The sequence below is a fragment of the Homo sapiens genome, chromosome 3, assembly GCF_000001405.40.
Source record: "Homo sapiens chromosome 3, GRCh38.p14 Primary Assembly".
In the NCBI taxonomy this organism is placed as follows: domain Eukaryota; kingdom Metazoa; phylum Chordata; class Mammalia; order Primates; family Hominidae; genus Homo; species Homo sapiens.
This window is the reverse complement of record NC_000003.12, coordinates 169,642,794-169,668,141: the sequence shown is the minus strand read 5'-3', so window position 1 is coordinate 169,668,141 and position 25,348 is coordinate 169,642,794. Positions and strand designations below refer to the sequence as shown.

Sequence of the window (25,348 nt, the reverse complement as noted above, 5' to 3'; positions counted from 1 at the left end):
CCTCCCTGAAAGGTCACGCGGGCTCGCAGTAATTTCCTTTTGCCTAAGGCTCCCTTTTCACTTTTACTCCGGCACGACAGCTCCGAGTACACAGGATCTTTATTTTTTATTTTAACCCCTAAATGCAACCCCTCCCGAAAACAATGCAGACAAGAAAAATCGAATAAAATCAACTCGAGACCTTTTCGCTCACTCTCAGCCTCCCTCCCCATCTTGCTCCATTCTTTCTTGTCGCCCCTGCTCCCTCCTACTTCAGCCCCCCTCCTCAACTCAAATGTATTCTGGACACTATTTAATAGATGAGTGTCTTGCAAGTAAACTCAGGCGTCCCTTGGGTCTGCATTTCATGTCTGTGACTCTCTCCCTTTCTCTCCTGTGGACTGAAAATTCGGATTTAAACCACTAGACAAGCTATTAATTTAGCTAGGCTACCCAGGGTCCTGAACCCAATTAATTTCTAATAATTATAGCCCAAGGGGGCTAGATAGATCTCCCTGCCTCTTTCTTTTATTGCCACTCCACGCCACCGAGGTCAGCGTATAATAAAGTGTGTATTTTGAAAGCGATCTCCAGAACAGTGAGTTATTGCAATGAATGAAAATTGTTTCCATTTTGGCTAATTGAGCCGGTGGCCGAAAGCTGGAGCCCTGAGACTAAATAAAGAGGACTGTTTCATTTCAACATGAAGAAACCCCTGCCTAGCTCTGGTCACCCAGCGAGAGTTTAATTTCTTAACAGCCAACCTGAAACCCAGCATTGGGTAAACAGTATTAATAATTGCATTACAATGATTAAATTAATCTTGCTGGTAGCCAGGAGAATATAGGTTGTGATTGAATAGCATGATGTAAAGTTCACTGCACAAAGACAATAGGCCTCGAAATACCTCCATAAAGAATTCAAACTTTCTTCCAAAGATACCGTGGGGCCGGTTCAATTAAAATGAGAGGAAAGGAAAACTTCCTGTTGCATGTAATGTATTGAAAATCGGTTATTTGCCATTTCTAACATTAATTTAAAAAATATAGTTGGGGAAGGGATATACTTGTCTGTGTCTTTCTCATCAATGTCCCATTTTCCTTCTAACTTCTATCTCAATCTCTTCACTTCTGCTAAACAAACAAAAACACGAAACAAAAAGTGACAGCAATAAAACAAGCAAACCCAGACAGTCTGTAAACCCATCGACTTTCCAACGAGGCACTGCTTCCAGGATGCTCGCTTCCGTGGGAGAAAACACAAGGAAACGTTGGAATGCATGCTACTGTCCCCCAAGAAAACGAATTTCAGGAGGAGAGGGAAAGGCGAGAGGTGGGGTGGGGGCGGGTAGCTAGGGCAGCTCCGCCAACTTGTTGGAGGCCTCTTTTCTCTTGGGCCAGCGACAGCTCAGACATCCCGTCAGAGGGTGTCGGGAACTCTAGGGGCTGCTGAACAGTCACCTGCTCTGGTCTCACGGCTGGGACTGGGACAGGTGGAAGTGACAGGGTCCAGGCACTTGAGAATGGGAACCGGCCGGGGCGGACGCGCAGAGGTCGCGGCGCTATCAGCCGCGAGCGCGACCGGTTGCTGCTGGGTGTTTGCTCCATCAGGTTAAACACACTTGAACTAGCAACTTAGCTCTTTATTAGCGCACACTTAGGGCAGAAAGCTAATGATAAAGAAAGAAAAAGAAAAGGAGAGAAAAGGAAAAGAAGCCCAGCTTTTAGGTTTGAAAATAAAAAACGAATGATATTGAGAATACTTTTATTTATTTAAAAGACGATGTCTTGTCTTTTCACAATGGCTTGGTCTGGGGACAGAGAAGAGTTTGCGTTTATTATTTGTTAGAAGGGGTTGGATTTTCTCGTGGCCCGAAACTGTTAGAAAGACCAGGGAGAAAGCTGGAGCGCTGAAGCGACAGCGGAGACTTCAAACCAGAAGGGGAGGGGTACTCCAGCCGCGCCTCATTCCGCCTCCCACTCCGCCAACCCCCCTTCTAGAAAAGTTTAAAAGACGGGGACCTTTAAATTTGGAGGTTCGGAGACTCCGATTCACTTCAGTCTTCCACCTCCCACCCAGTTCCCCTCACAGAACCCACCCCCTACCTCCCCAACCCTCCACGTGGTTTATAATTTCTCAGCAGCAACAGCAAGCTCAGCTTCACATGTGGGTCTTGCATTTAATCTCAGAGTTTGGTACCTTGGTCCCCTCCTTTCCTAGGAACATTTCTTGCACCCCTCTTAACCTCCCGTCTCCAAGGGAACCTAGACATAGACAGACCCCCTGGGGATGAGGTGAAAGGGATTAGCCGGAGGAGTGGAGGGGAGGATGGCGGTTCTTTTCTTTTTTCTTTTCTTCTCTTTCTTTTTTTTTTTTAAGCTACCTTGGCGGTTGGGCACCAAGGCAAGGTGCTCAGCCACCCCTGGGGTGCCTGGCAGGGAAGGTGAGGATTGGAGGGACAAGACCTAGATTTTGACAGCTGGGATCTTCAGGTGCTGCTGGTCTGTCCCCTGGCCTAGGGGATGGTCCCTAGAGAGTCTCTTACACCGATCAGAAGCAGCCTTATGAACTTCTTGCCAGTCAGCCTAGTGTTTGTCTCTCCCTAGAGATTTTGTCCCCCCTTCCAAAGCCTCTCAAGACCCATTTCTCCGTTTCCTCGGAGGACATTTGCTGGTCAGAGGGTAGGCACCTCTCCATCTAAACTGAGGGAAGCTGGTGGAGTCACATTTTGGGGGAAGTTTCAGAGTCAAAGACCTGTGTGAACCTAACAGAATGTTGGAATGGCTGGTGCTTTTGCACACACCAAATGTGTTAGCACACTCACCTTTATGCACAGGACAGCGGGAATTCTAGGTCTGGAAAAAAACCCAGGTGCCTCTTTAATTCAGAGTGGATAATAGAGTTCTCTTGTGCCCACGCGTGTGGGCACTAGAGCCTTCTCTTTTGGAAGTTGTTTTACTCCTGTTGTGAGTAATTCCCTCCTTTACCTTCCTACTTCCCTTCCTCACATTTCAACCTTATACATCTGTCTCCCTTGAGACCTGTAGCTTGGTTCTCCAGGGACCTCTATCTTACAGCCAAATGCCCCCAGAATTACACAGCTCTGGATAAAGGAAAATGGTAGGCATCCTTAACAAGGACAAATTCTTTGAACTTTGATTCTCTTGAATAAAGAGATTTGCAGGCCATTGATACCCTTTGGGGTTGAACCTTGTTATTTGCTCTCTCATGTCTGCAGTCCTAGATTTGATAATAAATACCAACAGGTACGACTGGGCATTCTCAATGATTCCCCTTTCCCTCCACAGCCTTTGCCAAACTCATGCCCAGGACCTGCTTTTCTTTTCCTTTAACTTGAACATCAAGGATGTATTGTTGCAGCACGGAGACTGAAAAGATTGTAATTTTCTTTTATGGTGTCTGGCAGGATTTGCAACAGATATTAATGGGGACATAAATAGCACATGGAAGGTATTGAACAAAACTGTTTAATGCAAGAAGGTTGTACCAAAAGAAAATCTATACCTAGTTGGGATTGATTCATACCTTGTACACAGCTAGCCCCTTTAGGAATTCCCATTTCTGAGTGGCACTTCATTGGTAAATCCTGTAATTAAAGGAAATTTCAACAATGTATTTTTTTAAGAGTGTGTGATTTTCCTCCCTACTCCTCTTTCTTTTGACCCCGAGGTTGTAGGTTTAAGCGAGTGAGTGAAAATGGCAGGCAAGCAGAGCTGCATCGGGAGGCGACCGGGGCAGCAGTGGGGGAGGCCGGAAGGTGACAGCCGACCTCTGAGAAAGCAGGAGGTCTTTGGATGTCAAATGCCAGCGCCGGCCCGGACCCGGGAATCAAGGGTGATCATTACTACTTGGTAGGGAAAGAATACTGAAATGTCCCAAGGATGGCAGCAAGCATTGGTATTACAGCTAAAATCGAGGAAAAAACCAGTTATTTATTCTGCTTACAACCCTGAAAGCGGAAGCTGCAATAGCTTCAGTAGCAGTAGCAGCGGCAGCAGTAGATTTCTCAAGTTCAGGATGATTCTCACTTTCTCCTGGATTATTAGCCGAGGGTCCAGCCCTTCTAGTTCTTTAACAGGAGAAGGGTTTTTAAAAAATGTTTTTAAAGTTTTTTTCCCCCCTGGCTTCTTGCTTCCCTCGTAGATGGTATAGAAAAATGTCTGCAATTTATGGTGGGAAAAACAATAACAATAATCATGATACAAGCTTGTTGGCGATTCTAACATGGAATCAATCCTCTGCCCAAGCCTTTTCAATTCCCCCCTCCCCTTTTTTTGGGCGAGGTGTCTGCTCCCCTCTGGCTCCCTGCGTTCGCTCCCCGCCCCCCGCCGCCCTCCCCGCGGCTCCCTTTCTCCGCCTCCTCGGCGATTGCCATCTGACAAGATCTCCAAATCAAAGTGATAAATCGCTCCAAACTTTTTTTGGCGGCGCTGAGATGTTGGAGGGGCGTCTAGCGCGCATGTGCGAAGGTGTCCAAACTGACAATGCTGGAGAGATAGCGAGTGTGGATTGAGAGAAAGGGAGAGAGGGAGGGAGAGAGAGTGAAAGAAGAAAATACAGAGAGTGAGTGTGTGGAAGAGAGAGAGAAACAGGAGAGAAACAGGAGGGAGGGAGAGAGAGAGAGAGAGAGAGAGAGAGAGAGAGAGAGAGAGAGAGAGAGAGAGAGACAGGAGAGAGAGGGAGGGAGCGAGAGGGAGAGCAAAAGAAGGAAAGGATCCAAGAAAAAAAAGCCCCAACCACACACCAGCGGCTGCAGGACTGGGCACAGCATGAGATCCAAAGGCAGGGCAAGGAAACTGGCCACAAGTAGGTGCAATATCCCTTTTCTATTGGCTTTTCCCCCTCCTCTGCCATCTTGCATATCTGTCTCTAGCGCTCCGGGAGGGAGCGCGGGCTGCCTCTTGCGCCGGGGCCCCGGGTGGAGGGCAGGCGGAGCGCAGCCCCAGCAACCTGCCGGTTCCAGTCTCTGCTCCCGGTCGCCCGCGCTCTCGCTCCCGGGTTGGGCGCCGGAGGAGCCTGGGCAGCCCTCAGTCCCGCGCACCGACCAGCTGTGGCAACCCCGGGGTGGGGGTGGGGGTGGGGGCAGCAAAGACTAGGGGTGGGAGGGAGGAGAGAGCGCGAGAGTGAGCGCGAAGGGGTGGGGTGGGGGGGAAGAGAAGAGGAGAAAGTCTCCCCCTCCCCTCCCCTTCCCCCCAGGCGGGGGAGAGTTGCCTCTGGCCAACCAGCTAGTCCCGGGTGTGGGAGGAGGGGGGCGCGGGGGATGGGGGGCCGGCAGGAGAAGGGAGCCTTTTCGAGCCTCGGTTTGTTTCTGGGGTTTGGGTAGGGTAGGCGGCTCAGAGGGAGCCACAGTGGCGGCGGCGGCGGGCGGCTGTGGTGGACTTGGGAAAAGTTGCGAGGCGGCCGCTGGAAGTTGCGCGGGCGGGCGGGTGGACTGCGCCGAGCCGCGGCTGCGGTAGTGGGCGCTGTGCGCTCGGCCATGCTCTCCGGCGCGGCGCTGCGCGGCGGGAGGACTGCGGCGGGGAGTAGGGGACACCAAGGTGGGGGCTGTGATCGCGGGGTGGGGGCGGGGGCACGGGCAGAGCAGAGCTACCGGCTCCGCACAGCCACGCGCAGGTGGGGAGGAAAGAGGCCCAGCGAGCGCTCGGACGTGGGGAGAGAAGAGGCCCAGCGAGCGCTCGGAGAGCCGGGAGTGGAGGGCACACAGCCAGCGGCGGCAGCCTAGGAGCAGGAGGCAGAGAGGGCGCGCTGCGACCCGCGCACCTCGGGCTTGCTGGGCGCCGAGCAAACCCCAGGGGGCGGGCTGCCAGAGCGTTGGGCCGCGGAGAGGGCGCAGCGCAGCCTCCGGCGCTTCGTCTGGGTGCAGCCTGGGTCCAGGGTCAATAACCCTCCCCGGCGCCCCCTGCCTGCCCGGCGCGGAGCGGCCTTGGTCTGGCGGGATGTGGGCTAAGGGGTTTGGGGAGGGGGCGGTGGGAGTCCCATCCCCCACTCTTACAGCAAAAGTGTTGGATGACTCGCCTGGCTTTGCCGGCGGGGCCCACACTTTCCCACACGGTGTGATGCTCCGCCAGGACTGTAGACGACAGGACTGCGTTTGTCCAAATGCTTCTACTTCGAGTTGAAGGGGACTCAGGGACACTGAGCCCCGGAGCGGCTGGGAGCGCTCTTCCTTGAGGTGTCAATAGGCGGGGCTGGAGCTGCCTCGGGAGTGGACAGGCCGCGGTTCTCTCTCCCACACTCGCACTCGCCGAAAACAAAACTCTCTAATTGTGTTGTTTACGGAACGCAGAAATGAGAGATCGGAGATGGGTGGGATGCTTCTCCCCAGTGAAATCCCAGTCTCCCCCCGCGCGACCCTCGCACATTAGAACCAAATACGGTAGGTATCGTATCCACGCCTCCTTGCTCACTGCGTCCCTGCAGCAGCCCGGGAAGTCGGCGGCACCTCAGCAGGCTCGGCTTCGCGGGCATTGGAGTCGGCGGTGTAGCCCCGCGAGATGCTGTCATCCCAGGCGCCTTTCCAGTGCTTTGTGCAGTCCTCACCCAAGCACTCGTACACTCCCCGATACATTTCCTTTCCCCTGGGTCTGAGAAATCAACCTAAATATAGGGCTCTTTGGGTCATCAGTCCATCTGTTTCTCTTTTGGGTGTTGTTCTTTACACTCGCTGCTACAGTGTCAAAGGGCGCCGGTGGAACTGTTTTCCCTGTTTGCTTTTAAATGAGGCCGATGTCTTTATTTTCATCTGAAGGGAAATAAATGTACATATACTTGAGGTTTGCGGGCTTCGATTTGGACTAAAGGTTGGGAGAGAGAGAGAGTGTGTGTGTGGGGGGGGGAGTTGGCGGGAGTGGGATGGTGGGTGGGGGTGGGTAGCCCTTTTCAACCATGCCTAAGTTGTGAAGTGAAAGCTTAAGGCTTCGCGCCGCAACTCACTGCCCGATAACTTCTGAAGTGAAAGCAGAACACAAAACCCTTCGAATTTTCTTGAGCAACTTTTTCAACTATTTTAATTGCCAAGCAAGACATACGATGCCGTCTTAAAATATTCCCGCACGCACAGTCCACTCAGCATCCAGAAACTGAGCCTCGTTTCCGATCTGATGATACTTGTCATTCAACTGGTGGGAGACCCATTTATTTTGTCCCCAGGGTCTCTAAGGATGCCGCTGCCGCTTTCTGATAGCTAGATCTCAACTCTTACAAACTTTTACTGAGCCTCAGATTCCCGCTTGCACTACTCCAGCTGTTGCTGCCGCAGCTGCCTTTCCCAGACAGAAGCGCTGCGTTGCAATTCTTCAGTTACAATCTGGGTAATAAAGGAAATCATATTAAAACTACAGATTTTTGTATTTTAAAGCGCGATTTCCTTCCCCCGAGTAGCGCGTGGCGGAGATGGTTGGTGACCCCTGCGGTGCAATCATCCAACGAAAACTTCACTGCTCTGCACCAGTTTTTCTTTTTCTGGGTTTAGAAGGGGAGTTGTGACTACAATACTTTAAAAAACAAAACTACCTTTATTGTGGCAAGAGAAAACATTACAATGGAAACAAATTACATATAAATAGTTGTTTTCTCGGTAGCTTGTTGTTCTTTTTGTCTTTTGTAAATTTCTTTGGTGGTCTTAAGTCCTGATTTGGCCTTGACTACAGTACAGGAGCCCATGGACCTAGACCAGAGACCACGGACCCTGAAAATACCCACTGAATCTACACCGAGATTGAATGCACAACACAGTTTGCAACTTGTAAGGCTTGTATTTTATACAGTAGTTGAAACCGATAAATTCGTTGTAAATCATTTGGGAAGGTTAAAAAATTTAATTAAAAATAAAATGAAAGGCAGGAAGATTGACATTTGTAGTGCCTAACGCCCCTGAATTTTATTTCCATCTTTAAGAAAAGAAAACCAAAAGCCAAACCGACTCTGGCAGCGCGGGGAGACTTCCCAGCCGTTTTCTTGGGCAGCTAGGACAGCACCTGGGCCGTGCCAGAAATGCCAGTTGCTATGGTCCTGATGGATGGAAAGGAAGTGCAGGTTGGGTCTGCGCAGCATGTCTAAAGCCTGAAATACCGAAGCCACCCTTACCTTACTTCCCCAAAGTGACAACGCGCGGGAATTCAGTCACAGCAGAGAACGAGTTGCATCCAGTAACTCCCTTAGCTACCGGCCCCCCAGAAGTCTCGTAAAGTCTCAAAAGGCGATGCGATTAGCAAGACCGCGGCAAGGGGGGCACTTGTTACTCCTACACTTGCTCTCTGTTTAAAAAAAGGCTCTGAAGTAGGAAAGGTAGATGCCGACCCTTTCTCCCGTCCTTAAACTACTCACCTTGTCAGCCCAGTAACTGAGATAAACACAACAAAACAACCCCCCCACAACAACAAACACAACACCCAGATTCAGGCATTTACTCTCTGTATGCCCACCTACTTGGGTTTTCCTTCATCCTTAAGAAACTCAGATGAAAACAGAGCTTTGTTTTAAAAAATACTTTTATTTGTTTATTTCAGATTGCTTCTGAGGAGGAAAATCCTTCTCCCAACGGAGGCCGAGGCCCCTTCTAGGAAGGCGGTTTATTTGCTATTACTTGACCATTACCCGGGCTTAGGGCTTCTTTATTGCATTTGGCACTTGGAGCACAGTCTTCTTGCAGTATTTTGATGTGTTTTGCAAAAAAAAAAAAAAAAAAAAAAAAAAAAAAAAATCTGTGTTTAGGGGAAGGTTAATTACGCTTTTCATTCTTCCCTCATCTCCAGCACTGTGGAAGGGAACGGTTCATTAGCTGTAGAGGCAGAAAGGCTAAAAAGCAAGGCTTCTTTTTTTATTTGTAGGGACTGCAGAGTTGCAGGTCTTGGCTATAGAGTGCATGTGAGTGTGTGTGTGAATGTGAGTGAGTGTGACTTTTGCCGGCTAGCCCAGCTCCCAGGCTTTCTGAGCCAAGGCCTCCCCTGGGCCCTGGGGCCGGCTTCCTGCAGGGACAGACATTCAACATGTAGGACTAGAAATTAACATGTCATTCCACGAATTTTGGTTTCTTTCTTTCTTTCTCTTTCTTTTTTTTTTTTTTTTTTTGGAGTTGAAGGTGAGGAGTCGTAAGCAATTTCTCTTTAAGCATGTTACTGTTTGGGAGTTTATTTTATTTTTGTAAGTTGGGGCCAGGTTATCCGAGGCTGCAGTTGTGACCTGGGGCAGGAAGGGGGGACGCCCTCCTCCCCGGGCTAGAAGGACAAGAGAGCGGAGTTGCCCCCGGCACGCCCGGCTCGGCCCCCTCTCTCCCGGCACCCCCCTGCGCGTTGCCTCCGCTGGAAGCGGGCGGTGAGATGGAGAACCTTGACTTGTCATCTCCTGGTCACCGGCTTTTTCCCTGTTCCCAAGGCACCCAGAGCCCTGTTCCCAAGAGCTGAGCCCTCCCACGCTTCATCTCAAAACCGTCTGGTGCTGAGGAAGTGGCCCAAGATGGACGTGGGGGTGGGACTGGGGAAGCCCCAGTGAGGTGGGAGGCAGTTTCTCACTCAGGGGGCCCCCTACACCTCGCTCCTCAGGCTGCTCAGCTCAGGGCTCCAAGGTTTGGCCAGAACTCTTCTTTCCCTCTCTAGTCTCAGAGGGGCTGCGTGCCTGGCGCGCTGCTTCCCTCGGAGCTGGGTTTACATTGACAGTGTAAACTCACACCCACACATGCGTGTGCACACCCACACACGTCTTGGCTTCAGGAAGACAAGGAGCACTCTTGCGCGGAGGGCAGGCACACACTCACTCATTCACTCTCCCTGTTGGGACAGGCTCCTTCCTAGCCTCATAGGGCAAGGGAGAGTGAGTTTGGGGAAGAGATGGGGTGGGAGGGAAAAGTTACACTCTGATGATGCCAGGTACATTTTTTTGGAGTGACGGTTAACCCTTCTTCCGCTGGAAGCCGCTGTCTAGGCATTTTCTAAAACGGTCTGTGGGGTCTGCTTTTCTTTTCTCCTGGACGGCGCAGGATAAATCATTAGTTCCCTCCCGACTTCCCCACTCCACTAGCCACGGTCTTCTTTCTAAAATTAGATTTCCCCCTTCCCACTCTTCTGGCCTTCAGAGTTTACCAGGGAATTTTCAAGGAAATTGGCTGTATAGTGAGAACAAGTGTAAGGAAGAGGATAAAGAGGAGACAGACAAATCGATCAGAAAACCAGAGAGGGAGACAGGAAGGGAGAAATAGTGTAGTTCTTCCAGATCCTTAGTTTGCACACAGATTGGTATTATCCTCCCCAGCCCCTCCAGGAAATGAAAAAAGTATAATCCTTGTTAATTACCTTTGCTTACTACAAGCCATACAAGAAACTTCAGAGATGTCTCTACATAGGGAAGAAACTGTTTACAAGACTCTTTCAAAAGTGTGACATATTGCTCTAGTTCAGCACTAAAAAGCTAAACACACTTAGCCTCCTTTGAAGTGCCCTGGCTGGGGCAGCTTATTTGAGTGTGGTTCAGATATTGCTGTGGGTATAACTAATGGCTTCTACCTATTTAGCTCAAGTGGGAGGAGAGAAAGTCCTGAATTCCTTGTCCAATGGGTCCCTCTGGAGACTGGGTTCTGGCTTCTTGCCAATTCTGTACAATGTCAACATTGAATATTTGAATTCCCAGACTCTATTTAACAAGTTTCTAAATAAATAAACTCATTGTGTGTCTGTGTTTAAAATTATTTCACCTCTTTCATAAAAGCTACAGCATCTTATTACATTGGCCTTGCAAGTTGATTTTAAAAAAATAAACAAACAGATCTCAAGGCATTTTAATAGCCAGATCTCCACAATTTGTATGTATTGTGAAGCCATTCTCTCACGTGTGGCTGTGTAGGGGTTACCTAGAGGGATCGTGATAGCGAATTTTAATAAAAACCCCAACTAAGTTCAGAAAGTAAGTGAAATATTAACTGCGTCTAAAGGGAGCCTTGACTGTGTAACTTTAGTGTATTTAGATATTTGTTAATTTTGTCTACTGGGTCTACAGGGGACAGAGAGCCTCACTGATGTGTTCTAAATGGTTGTCTGAATACAGATCCCCCTTCCCTATTGGTATCAGTAGGTCTAGAACTCTGCCCAGATGGTTTTGTTTCTAGGCATTTTTTATCTGTGTATGTCCTTGTAAGTTGGAAGGAGTAAATATATAGATATTATCTTCATATTTCACTTTGGTGAAAAAACCACAAGTCCTATGGTTTTACTAATTATTCAGCATTTAAACATCCATACAGCATTTTTATCTATATAGAAACATAGTTGTTCTAAGAAGTACATACTGAATTTTTTTTAAGGCAAGTTCTAGTCCTTTTGAAAGTGTGGACCACATCTGGAGTTGTTAGGAAAGAAAGTGGAATTTACTCTAATTTATGTGTATAAAATACAATGTTATTAGAAAGAATGGGATTTGAAAGGGCACACGGTAAAGCCCATAACATTTAGTGGGTAATGTGGAGAACTCAAAGCCAAGACAAAAATACCATCAACCCATGCAAACCCTAAAATAGATTACAATGACCTCAGTCATTTTCATTTTCAAAAATAATAGCCATGATTAAAATGGGGGAGTGTTTTGCTTGGAACCATACTCTTCGGCATTATTATAAAAGCTGTTTTGTGGTTAAAGAACTGTTTCATTATGGAAAAAAAGGGAACTGAATTTTTAATCAAATTCCTGACTCTTCAAAAGCACTCATTCTTGAATTAATTCTTATTTTGATTTTAGTTATTATTCTTATTCATTAGCAAACGTGCTTTTGGCTTGTATATTCAGCCAAATTCTTGACTACTGACTTTTATAACAATTCTAAAGGAGAAATTTATTTAGAAAAGAGATTTTATTATGTTAGTAAACATGTGTGTAGGGGTCATTAACTACACAACATAAAGAACCAACATTTCCTAAACCTTGTTCAAGAACCTGCCTAAATGAATTAGTTGTATATGTCAAGGTTGTTCAAATGATGACATTTATGAATGAAAGTGCTTGTACATGGCAGTTTTTGTGCTTTGGCGATGGGCAGGCTTACACAACAAATATCAATGTGCTAGGCCCTGTGCACGGGCAAACCATGTTCCCTACTCTCACAAGCATTACAAACGTGCACATCAGTGTTTGAATCTGGGCATGATCCCTGATTGAAAAGTCAGGTCCTCTTCAAGTTATTGAATGCCTCTGAGGCCTAGCATCTTTACTTGTGAAGTGGGAGTAATAATACTACCCTCCTTGGGCTGCTGTGAGAGTTAATTGGTATAATGTGTGCAAAGTACCTAAGGCACATGCTCAATAAATCTTAGTGGGTTTCAGTTTCCTTATAATTTATCAGTTAAATTTTCTGAAGAAGAAACATCCTTTTTTTTCCCCTCCTGTTTAATGTTTTTATCCAGTTTCCTTTTTAAAAGTATTTACATGTCTACGGTAAGCATTTTGTATGTCTTCTCAATAAATTATGCCCTCAGAATGAAGGGAAGTCATATCTAAAATTTGGGCACATTAAAACTGTCCATACCAAGCCAAACTAGGCAGTAAATTTGTTCTGAAAACTTGAGCATCTTCCTTTGCCCTTTATTTGGAGTCGGGGTGAGGGGGATGTGTAAATAAAATGATTGAGATTTCAACTTTTCCCCACAGATTTTGGCATTGTATAGCCACACAGCCCTAATTTAGTTTTGCATACTCTCTAGTTATCATTAGGCAATAATCCCTCCTGAATGAAAATTTGACTTTTAGTGGATTGAGTTTGTAAGTCACTTTACTACTGCAGCTGGGTTGCTCCTCTTTAAATGAATGGATTAGACTAGAGCAGAGCCTGTAAATTTGCAGGTACCATAAATGAGTGAAGCAAGGTGGGTATAAGCCTTAAGCTCTCTCCTATTTTTATTTAATTTTTTGACACCCAGCCTTTGTATTTCAGAACAAGAGGGAGTGGCGGGGATGGTGGGAAACTGGCAGTTCAAGACTCCTCTAAAGGTGGCAGCTTCTTCTCAGCTCCTGCTCACTGTTACCATTTGGGCAAGGGGGTTCAGGGCCGCCAGGTCTTCCACTTTTTAAGAGAAGCCACAAATCTGGGTTTTTATGTAAGTTTTCTCTACTTTATGAAATGTTGATTCAATTTTAAAAAATTCTGCAGGCCCAACCAAACACCTCTGCCTGCAATATATAGTTTGTAGGGTTTGCAATGTCCAGATTCATTGATTTCCAAGGGTGCTTCAAAGTTTCATTTTATGGTGATATCCAGAATGGTTTTTGAATATTACCTTGTGTTTTTAAGATCTATATCTTCTTCCCCACCTCAAGTTAATATGTGTGTGTGTGTGTGTGTGTGTGTGTGTTTTGATAGGTGGAAGTACTTATTACAGAATCTGATATCTGGCCATTTATCTGGAAAAATAGTCTTTTACAACTATGTTGTGTCTTTCTTTCCCTCCATGCCGTTTCATCATTAATTGGCTTAAGAAAATAAACTGAAGCATTCCCTCCCCTTCTTGTATCCACTGGCCACCATTCTTTCTTATTTCTCACTAAACCCAATTCTTTGATTTGTGGGCTGGGGGTTGGGCAGTAAATCATTAGGAGACAGTCATCTGTGGTTTTCCACAGTGGGAGAAGGAGTCATTTGGCTACTGTGGATATTCAGAGGAAGAGTTCACCCCTGCCCTCCTAGGAGAGTCCAGATGTAATGTCCTGTACATCTGTAACTGAGGAACCCAACTGATTTTTAAGACCTGAACCTAGGATGGAGAAATAAGTTTTTAAGGGATGAACGTCTTATTTGAGCAGAGTGGCTTTCCATGTAGGAAGGTCATATATGTTCGGGTAACATGTGAAAATAAACATACTTTGCTCTGTTTATTATCATGAGTTGTATTTCTAGCAGAAGTGTTAGGTGAATAACAGGTAAAATTAAGTCTTTAGGATTAAAAATTGTGGTGATGGAATGTCAACACAATGGACTCTCCTGATAAAGATTTGACTGAGCACTTTATAATATCTAACTCAATACTGTAGTCATGGGACTTGTCAGTGAATACATATCACTATCAGTGAATATTGTTGGGAATATCATCGGATAATGCAATTCTTTTAGAGGAAGATTCTGAGTAGTGATGAACCATGCATATAAGCATTATCAATGAGTTATCACCTCATTCTCAATCTTTATACCTGATGCTGAATCTCAAATTCCTTAGCTTGGCTGTTGAGGGGCTCTACTTTTGTGCCAGAAGAATGTGGTGACTCCTGAGTACAGGTCGGGAGTGAGATTTGCCTGGGTTTGAATCCTGGCTCCACCATTTACTAGCTGGTTGAAATGAAGGCAAGCCATGTAACCTTTTTGTGCCTCAGTTTCCTTACTTGTGGACTAGAGGTACTTACCTCATGTGAGGATTTGATCAAACTAATGCATTTAGAGTGCCTTAAATAGAATAAGAGTTCAATACATTATTTTATTGACTTTTCAGGCTTGTCTTATTCAAGACTGGTCCATTCAGCCTACCTTGTTTACTCATTCTGTACCTCTCAGTCTCTTATCAGCCTACTCTTGTGTTTCTACCATCCAAATTTTGGCCATAATGTTGCCATAGTTTGTAAATCTACCCATACTGTACACTGACTGTCAAAATCTAACTCCTCTAAGATTTCATTTGAACTCCTGCTTCTTCATGATCTCTCCTGGAGATATGACTTCTATGTTATTTCATTCCAATAGTATGGAATTGTCTTTATCATCATTTTGGCATTTTATTATAAATTGCTTGTCTTCATGGTATATATCTTATTTTTCTAGGTAAACTGTAAAACTCCTGGAGAGCCCATTTCTGTTTTGTATAGGGCCTAATACTATGCTTTGCATATGGCAGATATCAATATGATTAGGTGATGGTGGTTAGCAATGGGCTTTGGTGGATTATGTGAACCCCTTCAATTTCTTTGGCTGTAAAACCTGTGCAGTTAAGTAATGTCGGCACCAGAATTCTGGGATATCTGACATTTCAAGTGCATACTAAATCCACAATTGACCTATTTTGACAGTGATAAACCACCTGGAAAGTGGAGTATTATTCCTAATTTTCACCAATAATGTCCCTCATTTTGCCAGTGCAGGTATTGCCCATGACCCCTCACTTAAATCACAAATTGTTATTGATCTTAAACTCTGTACTAGACCTGATTCTGGAGAATGTCAAAGGAGTCAAGGTAGAAATGGTAAAACATTCTGTGGACTCATGTAATTCCTAGGGATTTGGGAATATTCAGTTTACAAGTCATCAGAAGCCAAGTTTTTACCTAAATCCTAACACCAATGTAGGCAGTTTTGCTGCCTAATATTTATGCTCTATTAATATAGAGCATGGTGTCAAGCATTTTGCTGTATATTTAAATGCACTTTTATGATTAAAGATTTCTTTCAAACAATTTAAGGTTGATAGATAATGTATTGAATCTTGTTTTACTGATTAAATTAACCCAACTCACTCAACTCTGTTCCCTTAATTCAAGTGCAAACATGACTTCTTCTTCTCTGCCCCTCCCCACTCCTCTAACCCCCATCTGTCATTTCACAAATCAACCATCTCTATAGAGAAAATAGGACTGTCTGTGTCTTGGACAACTATCCTCAAGTCCTGAATGATTACAGGCTTTTAGTGCCTGTTAGGAGTTTTCTTTTACCGAGAACAGCCATATATGGTTTCTTGTGCACTTAGGACTGCTCCTAAGTCAATGGGAACTCCTCTAAGTGAGGGTAAGACTAAGACCCACAGCTTTTATGCTTAGCATAGACTTTACCTTTGGTGGGAACTATGAAATTAGTAATAAAATGTTTCATGATAAAATGATAATAAAAACGAATGGAGGGATGGAATAGCTATCTTAGTTTTGGCTAGGGTCATAGTTCATGACCTTCTTTTGGGTCCCAGACTCCTGTGAGAATCTCATAGAAAGTATGGAGCTTCTTTCCAGAAAATACACATGCAAGAAACATTTTCATACAATTTTAGCAGCTCATGGATTTCTAAATTTCTAAATGGTTGAATGGGGGTTCAACCATTTTTTCAGACTTGATTCACCTTAGCATGTTTATTATAAAACATCTTAAAGTTTTTATCAATCTTTTTTCATTGTCTTATACACAATATTTTTCTTGTTACAAAATTTATACACAATAATTTTTAAATGAAAAGAATGTATAAAATAAAAATGAAAGTTATTTTCTTTCTTTTTTGTCATAAATTGCCTGCAGATGACCACCATTCATCCTTTAGTGTAGCTTCCAGCAGATTTTTTCCCCCATGCATATATTAGCACATACATACATATAGATTTACAACTTTTTACAGCAAATTGCCTTTTCTTTTTTTTCTTCTTCGTAGGTTACTGGGGTACTAGTGATATTTGGTTACATGAGTAAATTTTTTAGTGGTGATTTGTGAGATTTTGGTGCACCCATCATCTGAGCAGTATACACCGCACCATATTTGTAGTCTTATCCCTCATCCTCTCTCCACCCTTCCCCCCAAGTCCATTGTATCATTCTTATGCCTTTGCATCCCCATAGCTTAGCTCCCATATATCAGCGAGAACATCAATGTTTGGTTTTCCATTCCTGAGTTACTTCACTTAGAATAATAGTCTCCAATCTCATCCAGGTCGCTGCAAATGCCGTAACCAAAAAAGAAAACTACAGACCAATATCCTGATGAACATAGATGCTAAAATCCTTAACAACATAGTAGCTAACCAAATTCAACAACTTATCAAAAAGATAATCCACCATGATCAAGTGGGTTTCATATCACTTGCAGGGATGGTTTAATATACACAAGTCAATAAATATGATACACTACATAAACAGAATTAAAAACAAAAATCACATGATCATCTCAATAGATGCAGAAAAGGCATTTGACAAAATCCAGCATCCCTTTAGGATTAAAACTTTCAGCAAAATTGGCATTTAAGGGACATACCTCAATGTACTAAAAGCATTATTTTATTGTGACAAACCCATGGCCAACATAACACTGAGTGGGGAAAAGTTGAAAGCATTCCGTCTGCAAACTGGAACAAGACAATGATGCCCACTCTCACCACTCCTCTTCAACACAGTACTGGAAGTCCTAGTCAGAGCAATCAGACAAGAGAAAGAAATAAAGGGCTTTTTCTTTTTTTAAACTTAATATACCTTGGATTTTTGTCTGTATGTATCAATCTAAACCATTCTTTTTAAAGGCAGAAGATCCTCTATTGTTTAGATCTAACACATTTCATTGAACCAATTCCCTGTGGATGACATTTGGGTAGTGTCCAGTTTTCAGAACAAAACAGACAGAGAAGTTCCCCAAACCAGGACCCAAAGGAATATGAAAGTAAAGTCTGCAATTAAAGGAAGCTCACAGTTCAGGGTGAAGTGTGCTGGCCTCTGAGACACGGTCACAGCAGGGTTTTGGGAAGGTCATAGAGGGTTGCTTCACTGTCAGGGCAGATCAGATTTCCAAGCATCTTTGGCTTCTGGAGGATCAAGGGTCTAAAACCAGAGCTAAGGTATATCTTTCTAAAATCCACTGTGATATATCTGTGCTATTTCAAGCTTACAGGATTATTCCAGGTCTTATATTATGCCCCATTTCTATTTCTTCCTGCTGCTTGGAACAGGCTGTAGCTGAAATCAATCCATGTAGCCCAAACTGGGTAAGGATAAGTAAGTTGTCAGAGTTTCAGGCCTCAAGGCTTTTTTGTTGTTGTTAAGTGATTTCCTTGTTTGTGTGGGACATTATTATCATACTGCCTTATCCTGTACATGTACCTAAAGCCAACTGATGCTACTAGACCCACCAAAACTTTTTTGATGTTCTTTAAAAAATTACCCACAATAATTTCTAGCTTATGAATTATGAAGACCATTTTTATAGAAAAATGTTTTTCACTGGGTAATCAGACTATGGGAAAATTTTTATAATGGAAACTATCTTTTACTTTTAACTATAGCATAAAAAATATGACAGTATAGTGTTACACACTAAAGCCCATCAGATGCAAAATTCCAGTTTTTGATTATAAGTTATAAACCAGGATAGAGAGACTTCTGAAAAGTGGTTTTCTTTGGCAATGATGTTGTTGATTAAATATAAAAAATTCAGAAAAAATTAGTTCAGCCCATTCCTTTACACAGAAGGTTACAAAAATGGAATAACTGGGTTTTGGTTCTACTGGCAAGAACTATTTTGCTTATTAAAACTCATTGGATTATATCAGATTGCAAACATATTGGACATTTTAGATTGGATTTGAAAAGGTACCATTCAAGGAATTAAAATTATTCATATAAATCTTTAAGGGATTAATTTACTTTGCAATTTTAATTCCTTAGAGCACAATATTTGTTTCAAATGCGTACTTTTTTGGTGTGGATGTTTACTGGTTGTTCCATGAGGGCATTACTCTATTAACATTTTTCAAAGTATATTTTAAGTTAGATCAATCAAATTGAATTAATGAATAGTTATCAAGTACCTAGCATATGTAAGGCATGATGAATTAAATCCTATAAACACTCAATTTCCTGAAAATATTGAACACCGACATTTGACAGACATACATATACCCCTGAAAATGATTTATTAACAGGGACAAAGATATCCATGACTACAAACTGGTTTTGTGAGCTTGGAATACTGAATCCTAAGCCTGTCTCTTCTCCAGATATTTTGTTTTCCTATTTTTTTTTTTTTTTTTTTTGAGATGGAGTTTCGCTCTTGCCGCCCAGGCTGGAGTGCAATGGCGTGATCTTGGCTCACTGCAACCTCCGCCTCCTGGGTTCAAGCGATTCTCTTGCCTCAGCCTCTGGAGTAGCTGAGACAGGGTTTCACCATGGTGCCCAGGCTGGTCTCGAACTTGTGCGCTCAAATGATCTGCAAGCCTCAGCCTCCCAAAGTGCTGGGATTACAGGAGTGAGCCACTGTGTCAGCCTGATGTTTTCCTGGAAAGTCTGCCTATCACATTTGTCTGTTGTTAGGGAAATGCTGATTGCAATAACTGAGTAAGATGTAGGATGTATTTACATAGCCCATAAACACTTTATAGAAATACAAGCCTTGGGTCTGCAGATGGGCAAATTACTCCTTCCATGCTCACAGTTTTTGCGTATTTTATCCTTTGTGCAGTTAGAGCAAACTTTCCCATCACAGTTCAAGAACAAGTTCTCTTTAAAGGATCTCATTCCTCCAGCTTCTTGCCACTTACAAGAGCACCACTGTCTGAGAGCAAAGATCTGATTAAAATGCCCAAACTGAAGTCTCCATGGTTTCCAAAGGTGTGTCTTTCTGCTAGGTTCAATTTTTATCCAGTAGAAGATAGTGCTACCCCCAAATTGACATAAACTCACAGAAGTGGCTTGTCTTTCAGGCTGGCATGTGATTTTCTTGTTCATGAAACAGAAATAAGAATAAAAAGCGCTGCCTTCTCTTCCAACTGTCTTTGCCAACCATCTTGCTGAGCTATGTGTATGCATCCAAGCCAATGTTCCAGCCACTAGGCTTGGCACAGAAATCAGTGCATTGAACATCTTTACTTTTGGGCACAGTCTGAAATTCTAAGCAAAATTCCCCATTTGCCTAAATGCTTAAGATGCGAGTGATTTACGTATTCTGTTGATAATGATGCAGTATTAAAATACCAGCAGAGACCGTGGTTTGACCCATGAAGCAGCATTGTATCATATATATTTTTTTGACCTAAAAATACTGGGTAGATGGATCATTAGAGGATGGGAAATGTCAAGGTAAAGAGCATTATATGTCTAGGGTTTTCAAAGTGCCTCATGGTCTGTATATCAGATCTCTCTTCCTGCCCTCAAGTTATGGTAATATCAGTCACCAAGGTTTTATCTTCAAGAAGACAAAATACTCTGATACCTAATACAGCATAATGAGCTCCATCTTAGTTAACCTTCCAAGTGAATCCTTGGCATTGGCCAGGACTTGTAGAATGTGACATTTGTTTCCTTCTACTGCTTCTGGAGTAATTTACCTAACCATGTCATAACATGTCATTATGAAGCTTGTTAATTACTAATAACTTTCCTAAGAGGAAAATGCTCTCTGTGGTGTTTTGAGCCCTCCCTGCCTTGAAGATAGGGACTTGTTTTTTTTCTTAGGCGTGATCATCTCAAAACTTCAGTATATTTTGGGTACCGTAAACATGTTTTCTGGCGGATAATGCTGGCTGGGACGTCAGGATGTAGGGGTTTGAGTCTCAAGTTTGCTACTCATCAGTATGGTATCCTTCTGCAGGGCATTAACCCTCTGAGCCTCAGTGTCCTCAAGCGTAAGAGAGGAACAATAACTACCTCTGTTTGGCTTCTTCCAGACCAGCAATGCTAACATAAGATGACATATGTATAAGCTTTTATCAGCTGCAAAAAGCTGTGTAAACTTAACACACACAGAATTTCTTATTAGAAACTCTAGAAATTATAGAATATTAAAAATGCTAAGAGGGTATTAAGAATGTAGACTCTGGAACCACATTATTTAGGTTTTTCAGTTTTAATCCCTTAGAGCACAATATTTGTTCCAGATGCATATTTTTTTTTGGTGTGGATGTTTACAGGTTGTTCCATGAGGGCATTACTCTAGTTAACATTTTTCAAAGCATATTTTAAATTAGATGGCTTGGTTCTATCACTACCTAGCTGTGTGGGCATTGGCCAGCTATTTACTTCTCTGTGCCTGAATGTCATCATCTGTAAAATGGAGATAATTTATAACAGCAACAATAAGTAATAACGCCAGTCAAGGTTGTTGAGTGTTCATGCGTCACTGCAGTTAATCCTCACATCTCTATGAGGTGGATGATATTATTGTCTTAGCTTAGAGATGAGCGCTCTGGAGACATGTTTGTTCTTTGCTCCAGGCCTCTCAGCTTTAAGTACAGAGCCAGGATCCAAACCTTGATCTGCTTTACAATAAAGTCGAAGAACTTAATCTGAATGAATGCTCCACTGCCTTATTTTTTTAAATCCAGAAATAAAAGTAGAACACTACATTGCCTGGGCATTCCAAAGCTCATAAAACGTAATAAGATTTTGGAAAAAAGACACTTTAACTTAAAGAAATGATTTCATACAACTCTTAGTAAAGAGGAATTTTGCTGCAATTTAAAATGAGAAAGCTTCTTTTTATGACAGGGGCTGGTCATCCCTTCATCTTTCATTTTCTTCCTCAAGTTATCTGCATTGTGATTTTCTATTACGTTATGATTTTAGTTTTGTTTAGGGAGATCCAAATGTCTTGGTTGAATGAATGACTTAGGGATACGTCATTACTTCATTGCCTGACATCACAAGCTAATTATACCTTATCATTTACCAGTGAATAGATGGTGCTAGATTCAGATTTTCATTTCCTAAACAATGTATTGTGACAGTAAATATGCCCAAGCTCACCAGCATATTTTTAGGGCAAGGAAAGCTAGCTACAACTTTCTAATTTTTTTTTTTTGTACAATACTTGAGACCAAGTCTCGTTCACTTATCCTCAATTTTGTTTTAATATCCAAATGACTTGGGCCTGCAACAAAGTATTTCACTAGCTACTTAATTGAATAACCTGTAGAATTTAGATAAGGAAAGCCTAATGAGCTCTCAGATCTAGTTCTTTTTTAATTTTTTATTATTTATTTATTTATTATACTTTAAGTTCTAGGGTACCTGTGCACAACGTGCAGTTTTGTTACATATGTATACATCGGCCATGTTGGTGTGCTGCACCCTTTAACTCGTCATTTACATTAGGTATGTCTCCTAATGCTATCCCTCCCCCTCCCCCTCCCCCCACCCCATGACAGGCCCCGGTGTGTGATGTTCCCCTTCCTGTGTCCAAGTGTTCTCATTGTTCAATTCACACCTATGAGTGAGAACATGCGGTGTTTGGCACATGCACACGTATGTTTATTGCGGCACTATTCACAATAGCAAAGACTTGGAACCAACCCAAATGTCCATCAGTGATAGACTGGATTAAGAAAATGTGGTACATATACACCATGGAATACTATGCAGCCATAAAAAAGGATGAGTTCATGTCCTTTGTAGGGACATGGATGAAGCTGGAAGCCATCATTCTTTTTTTACTTTTAGGGAAAGAGCAGTGGACAAGTTAAGAGAAGAGACAGTGACTTTCAAATATGGCTGCATAGAATCACTTGGAATGCTTAAAAATACTAACCCCAATCCAATTAAATCAGAGTCTTTGGGGATGGGACTCAGGTAGTGGAGAGCAATGTGAGTCCCAGACATGAGAAACTGGGAAGCAGGAGGTCATTTTGATTAAACAATAGGGAGATAGCAGGGCTATTTCCAAATGCTACAATTGGGGGCTACTTCCAGCATTATATATATTTTCATATAGGGCTTCCTTTCAGTTTTTACAGGCATAGGGTTGTCTTTAAACTAGATAATGATCTTGCTTTCTGCCTATGATTTCTGGCCTTTGTAGCCGCAATAGATGAGAGATTTTCAATTGTGAAAGACCATTGGTGGGGAAACTTCATCAAAGAGAGTGGATGTTTGTGGAGAATCCAGAAGCTCTGATATCTTTTTGACCATTTTGATCTGGTGGCCATTTCTAAGGAGACAATAATGTTTCTTCAGATTAAACAACAAGGTAAACAATAGAAAAAAACCCCAGAATCAGCAGCTGTTTTATGAGGGAGGACTTTACTATTGCTAGCCACTTTTGTCTTTTGGTTTTCTAGAATTCCAGACATAAATGTTTCTGCCAACCTTCCCATGCAAAGGAAGCAATGGGAATTCTACAGAAGGTGTGCAGGGAAACCAGAAAAAAAAAATACATCTGTCTACTCAGAAATGTTAAAAAGCAGGATATTAGGTTTTAGGGTGGGATCGGGCTATATTTTAGGAAGTTTAGATGTTGAACGCCAGTAGCCCTTATGCTTGGTTGGTTTTAATCAATGCTATCAGTCACAGACTTCCATATACATGAAAATTCATTAAATAATCTCATTTGTTGTTGTTGGACAGCCTAGGTATGTTCAGTTGCACCTGAGTGTACATTTGGTCTGTGTTCCTAATGGTTCCGGAGGTTTAGTTGAGATCAGTGGGACGGACACAGAAACAGCCCCTGTTGAGAAACACAGTCATTTGTGTGTACTTATGCCGAAGAAGAATGGCTTTACTCAAAGAGAGGACTAAGTCAGTAAAGAGGCATGAGTGTGTATTTATAAAATGTGTGCAGGTGTATAACTTTGGACACCTGAAGGGCCCACACTCCTTCAGTTTAGTTTTAACTGCTTGTTTCAAAACTATTAATAATTTTGCACAAACCTCTGAGAGATTTCATTTGGATTTTGCAGTTTATTTCAATGCTGTTTAATCTAATTGCCCCTTTGTTTTGTTCCCCCAAAATGATCACTTGAGTTTTATAATTTTTAGAATTTCCTTTGAACCAACTGTAAAGGAATATGATGGTTCAATTGTTGAAAAGAGAGATTAAAGCCAGGTTTTTATGAGAATTTTGAGTTTTAAAATTATACTGCCAGTGTAAGATGAATATAAAATATAAAATGGTAGGGGCCGGGTGTGGTGGCTCACCCCTATAATCCCAGCACTTTGGGAGGGAGAGGCAGGTGGATCACCTGGGGTCAGGAGTTTGAGACCAGCCTGGCCAACATGGCAAAACTCTGTCTCTACTAAAAATACAAAAATTAGCCAGGCGTGGTGTCATGTGCCTGTAATTCCAGCTACTCAGGAGGCTGAGGAAAGAGAATCGCTTGAATCCAGGAGCCGGAGGTTGCAGTGAGCCAAGATTGTACCACTGCCCTCCAGCCTGGGCGACAGAGTGAGACCCTGTCTCAATAAATAAATAAATAAATAAATAAATAAATAAATAAACAAATAAATAAAATAAAATGCGAGGAACTGAACCAAGAGTAGAATTTTCTAGCCTCAGGAGTGGGGCTTCAGAATCATAACTATTTGAGATAATCTATGTATTTTAAGAGGATTATAAGTTATGGTGCAAGAGGAGTTTTGTAGCATACTATATGATAAACTAAAGAAAATAGAATGATTCTATTCTACAGTTGAGGCTTGAAATAAGGAAGATGAGGGTAAGTTTTTCTAGGCAATGCGTACGAGGGGGTGAAACTGGTAAGAGAATGCTGGCTTACCTATTTCTTAGCTGCTAGACTGCATACATTTGTTGCTATCAGAGGCAGTTTTGTGACTTGTTTTATGAGAGTTGAGTATCTCTAGTTGAGAGACATCTTTTTCACTACACAGAAATTATTCATTTCATTTTCACTGTGTTAAATAAAATAGTTTCTGCTATAGAGTGTTTACATACCATTGAGATAAAATAGGAAGCTGTATTCTAAAAGTTAGACCCAATATTCTGAACCCAGTGGAGATGAAGGCCCAAGGTCAGGCCAGAGTTGTCATGATGCCCTCAGTTAATGTTTTTGAAGCTTCCACTTGGTGAATGATTTTGGATGAAGGACTCTTTTTGTAATTTTATAAGTGACCTAATTCTCTCTTATGAAACTTATTTTGAGAGTAAGCAGAAGGAAATGGTAGTAATAACAAGATTGGTTTGTGCTCATTCACACTTTTCTGCCATTTGGATTCTGGGAGTGGTAGGGTGGGATACGGGATGGCAGAAGAAAGAATGTGGAAGAAAAACAGATGTGCAGCAGAAAGGGGATGTGCAAGGTGCAGCACATTTGGGGTACCTGTAAGAGGGTTTCTTTAGAAAACACAGTGCTAATAACTCAATATTTAAAGGCTCATATTTGGGGGTTCACATATTTCCATTAATAGTTATGTGAAAAGAAAATTTAGCAAAATCAGATTGATGACTGATGTAATTTAATTAGACTCCAGCCTCATAAATATGCAATGTTATTTGAATGAGGAGTTGAATTATTAGGCTCCCTGAGAAAAAAATGACAATCTGGTTTGCTTCAGAGTTTGTTGCAAACATTTCTGCCCTTGTATAAATGTGTAAAATGATTTGGTAATTTAAACACTAGAAGAAAGGCTAAATTTAATTGACCAGTTGCAGTAACCATTTGTAGATATTTTTTGCTCTCCTTTGCAGCCCTGACTCTCTTTTCCTCTTTTGTGATTGGGGATATTCCTTTCTTGAACCATGCCTTCTATAATAGCTTTGGGAGATGCTACTGGGTTTTCATTCTCCTGATAATTTCACGCTGCCTTAAATCCTTTGCATGGTGGCTTTACTAGCACATCCAGAACAAACTATTAAGACTTTATAATGATATTAAAATCATTCAGTTGGCCAAGGAGACTTACTGATTTTTTTTTTTTGATAGG

At 42.8% G+C, this 25,348-nt stretch overlaps 1 protein-coding gene and 1 long non-coding RNA gene across 7 annotated transcripts in view, besides 4 other annotated features; one reads left to right on the top strand and one right to left on the bottom strand.

Annotated features, from left to right (window-relative positions):
- Positions 993–1,509: an enhancer, noted in NCBI's record as "H3K4me1 hESC enhancer chr3:169384421-169384937 (GRCh37/hg19 assembly coordinates)". NCBI's record gives its function as "activates a minimal SCP1, AML or CMV promoter by ChIP-STARR-seq in naive H9 embryonic stem cells {active_cell/tissue: H9 hESC(naive)}" and the evidence as "EXISTENCE:reporter gene assay evidence [ECO:0000049][PMID:30033119]".
- The window catches only part of MECOM (MDS1 and EVI1 complex locus), a 580,206-nt gene continuing 559,287 nt past the window's right edge, over positions 4,430–25,348 (top strand). For all 6 annotated transcript variants that reach the window (NM_001205194.2, NM_001366473.2, NM_001366466.2 and 3 more), the window contains exon 1: positions 4,430–4,806. Coding sequence is in view for 5 of the 6 variants with exons in the window: in NM_001366473.2 (NP_001353402.1) it covers positions 4,770–4,806 (37 nt within the window). In the remaining variant the exon portion in view is untranslated. The remainder of the gene's footprint in view (positions 4,807–25,348) is intronic.
- Positions 5,439–5,538: a silencer, noted in NCBI's record as "silent region_14873". NCBI's record gives its function as "represses an Ori minimal core promoter by ATAC-STARR-seq in GM12878 lymphoblastoid cells {active_cell/tissue: GM12878}" and the evidence as "EXISTENCE:reporter gene assay evidence [ECO:0000049][PMID:35858748]".
- Positions 6,628–7,348: an enhancer, noted in NCBI's record as "NANOG-H3K4me1 hESC enhancer chr3:169378582-169379302 (GRCh37/hg19 assembly coordinates)". NCBI's record gives its function as "activates a minimal SCP1, AML or CMV promoter by ChIP-STARR-seq in naive H9 embryonic stem cells {active_cell/tissue: H9 hESC(naive)}" and the evidence as "EXISTENCE:reporter gene assay evidence [ECO:0000049][PMID:30033119]".
- LOC124906301 (uncharacterized) lies at positions 6,980–9,037 on the bottom strand. Its single transcript, XR_007096153.1, has 2 exons — positions 8,086–9,037; positions 6,980–7,306 (listed from the first exon to the last, which is right to left on the bottom strand). It is a non-coding gene; the product is annotated as an uncharacterized LOC124906301 (long non-coding RNA).
- Positions 15,026–15,195: an enhancer, noted in NCBI's record as "experimental_66711 CRE fragment used in MPRA reporter constructs". NCBI's record gives its function as "activates a minimal promoter by MPRAs in K562 erythroleukemia cells, with activity observed for both the introgressed and non-introgressed 3:169370820 variant alleles {active_cell/tissue: K562}" and the evidence as "EXISTENCE:reporter gene assay evidence [ECO:0000049][PMID:34662402]".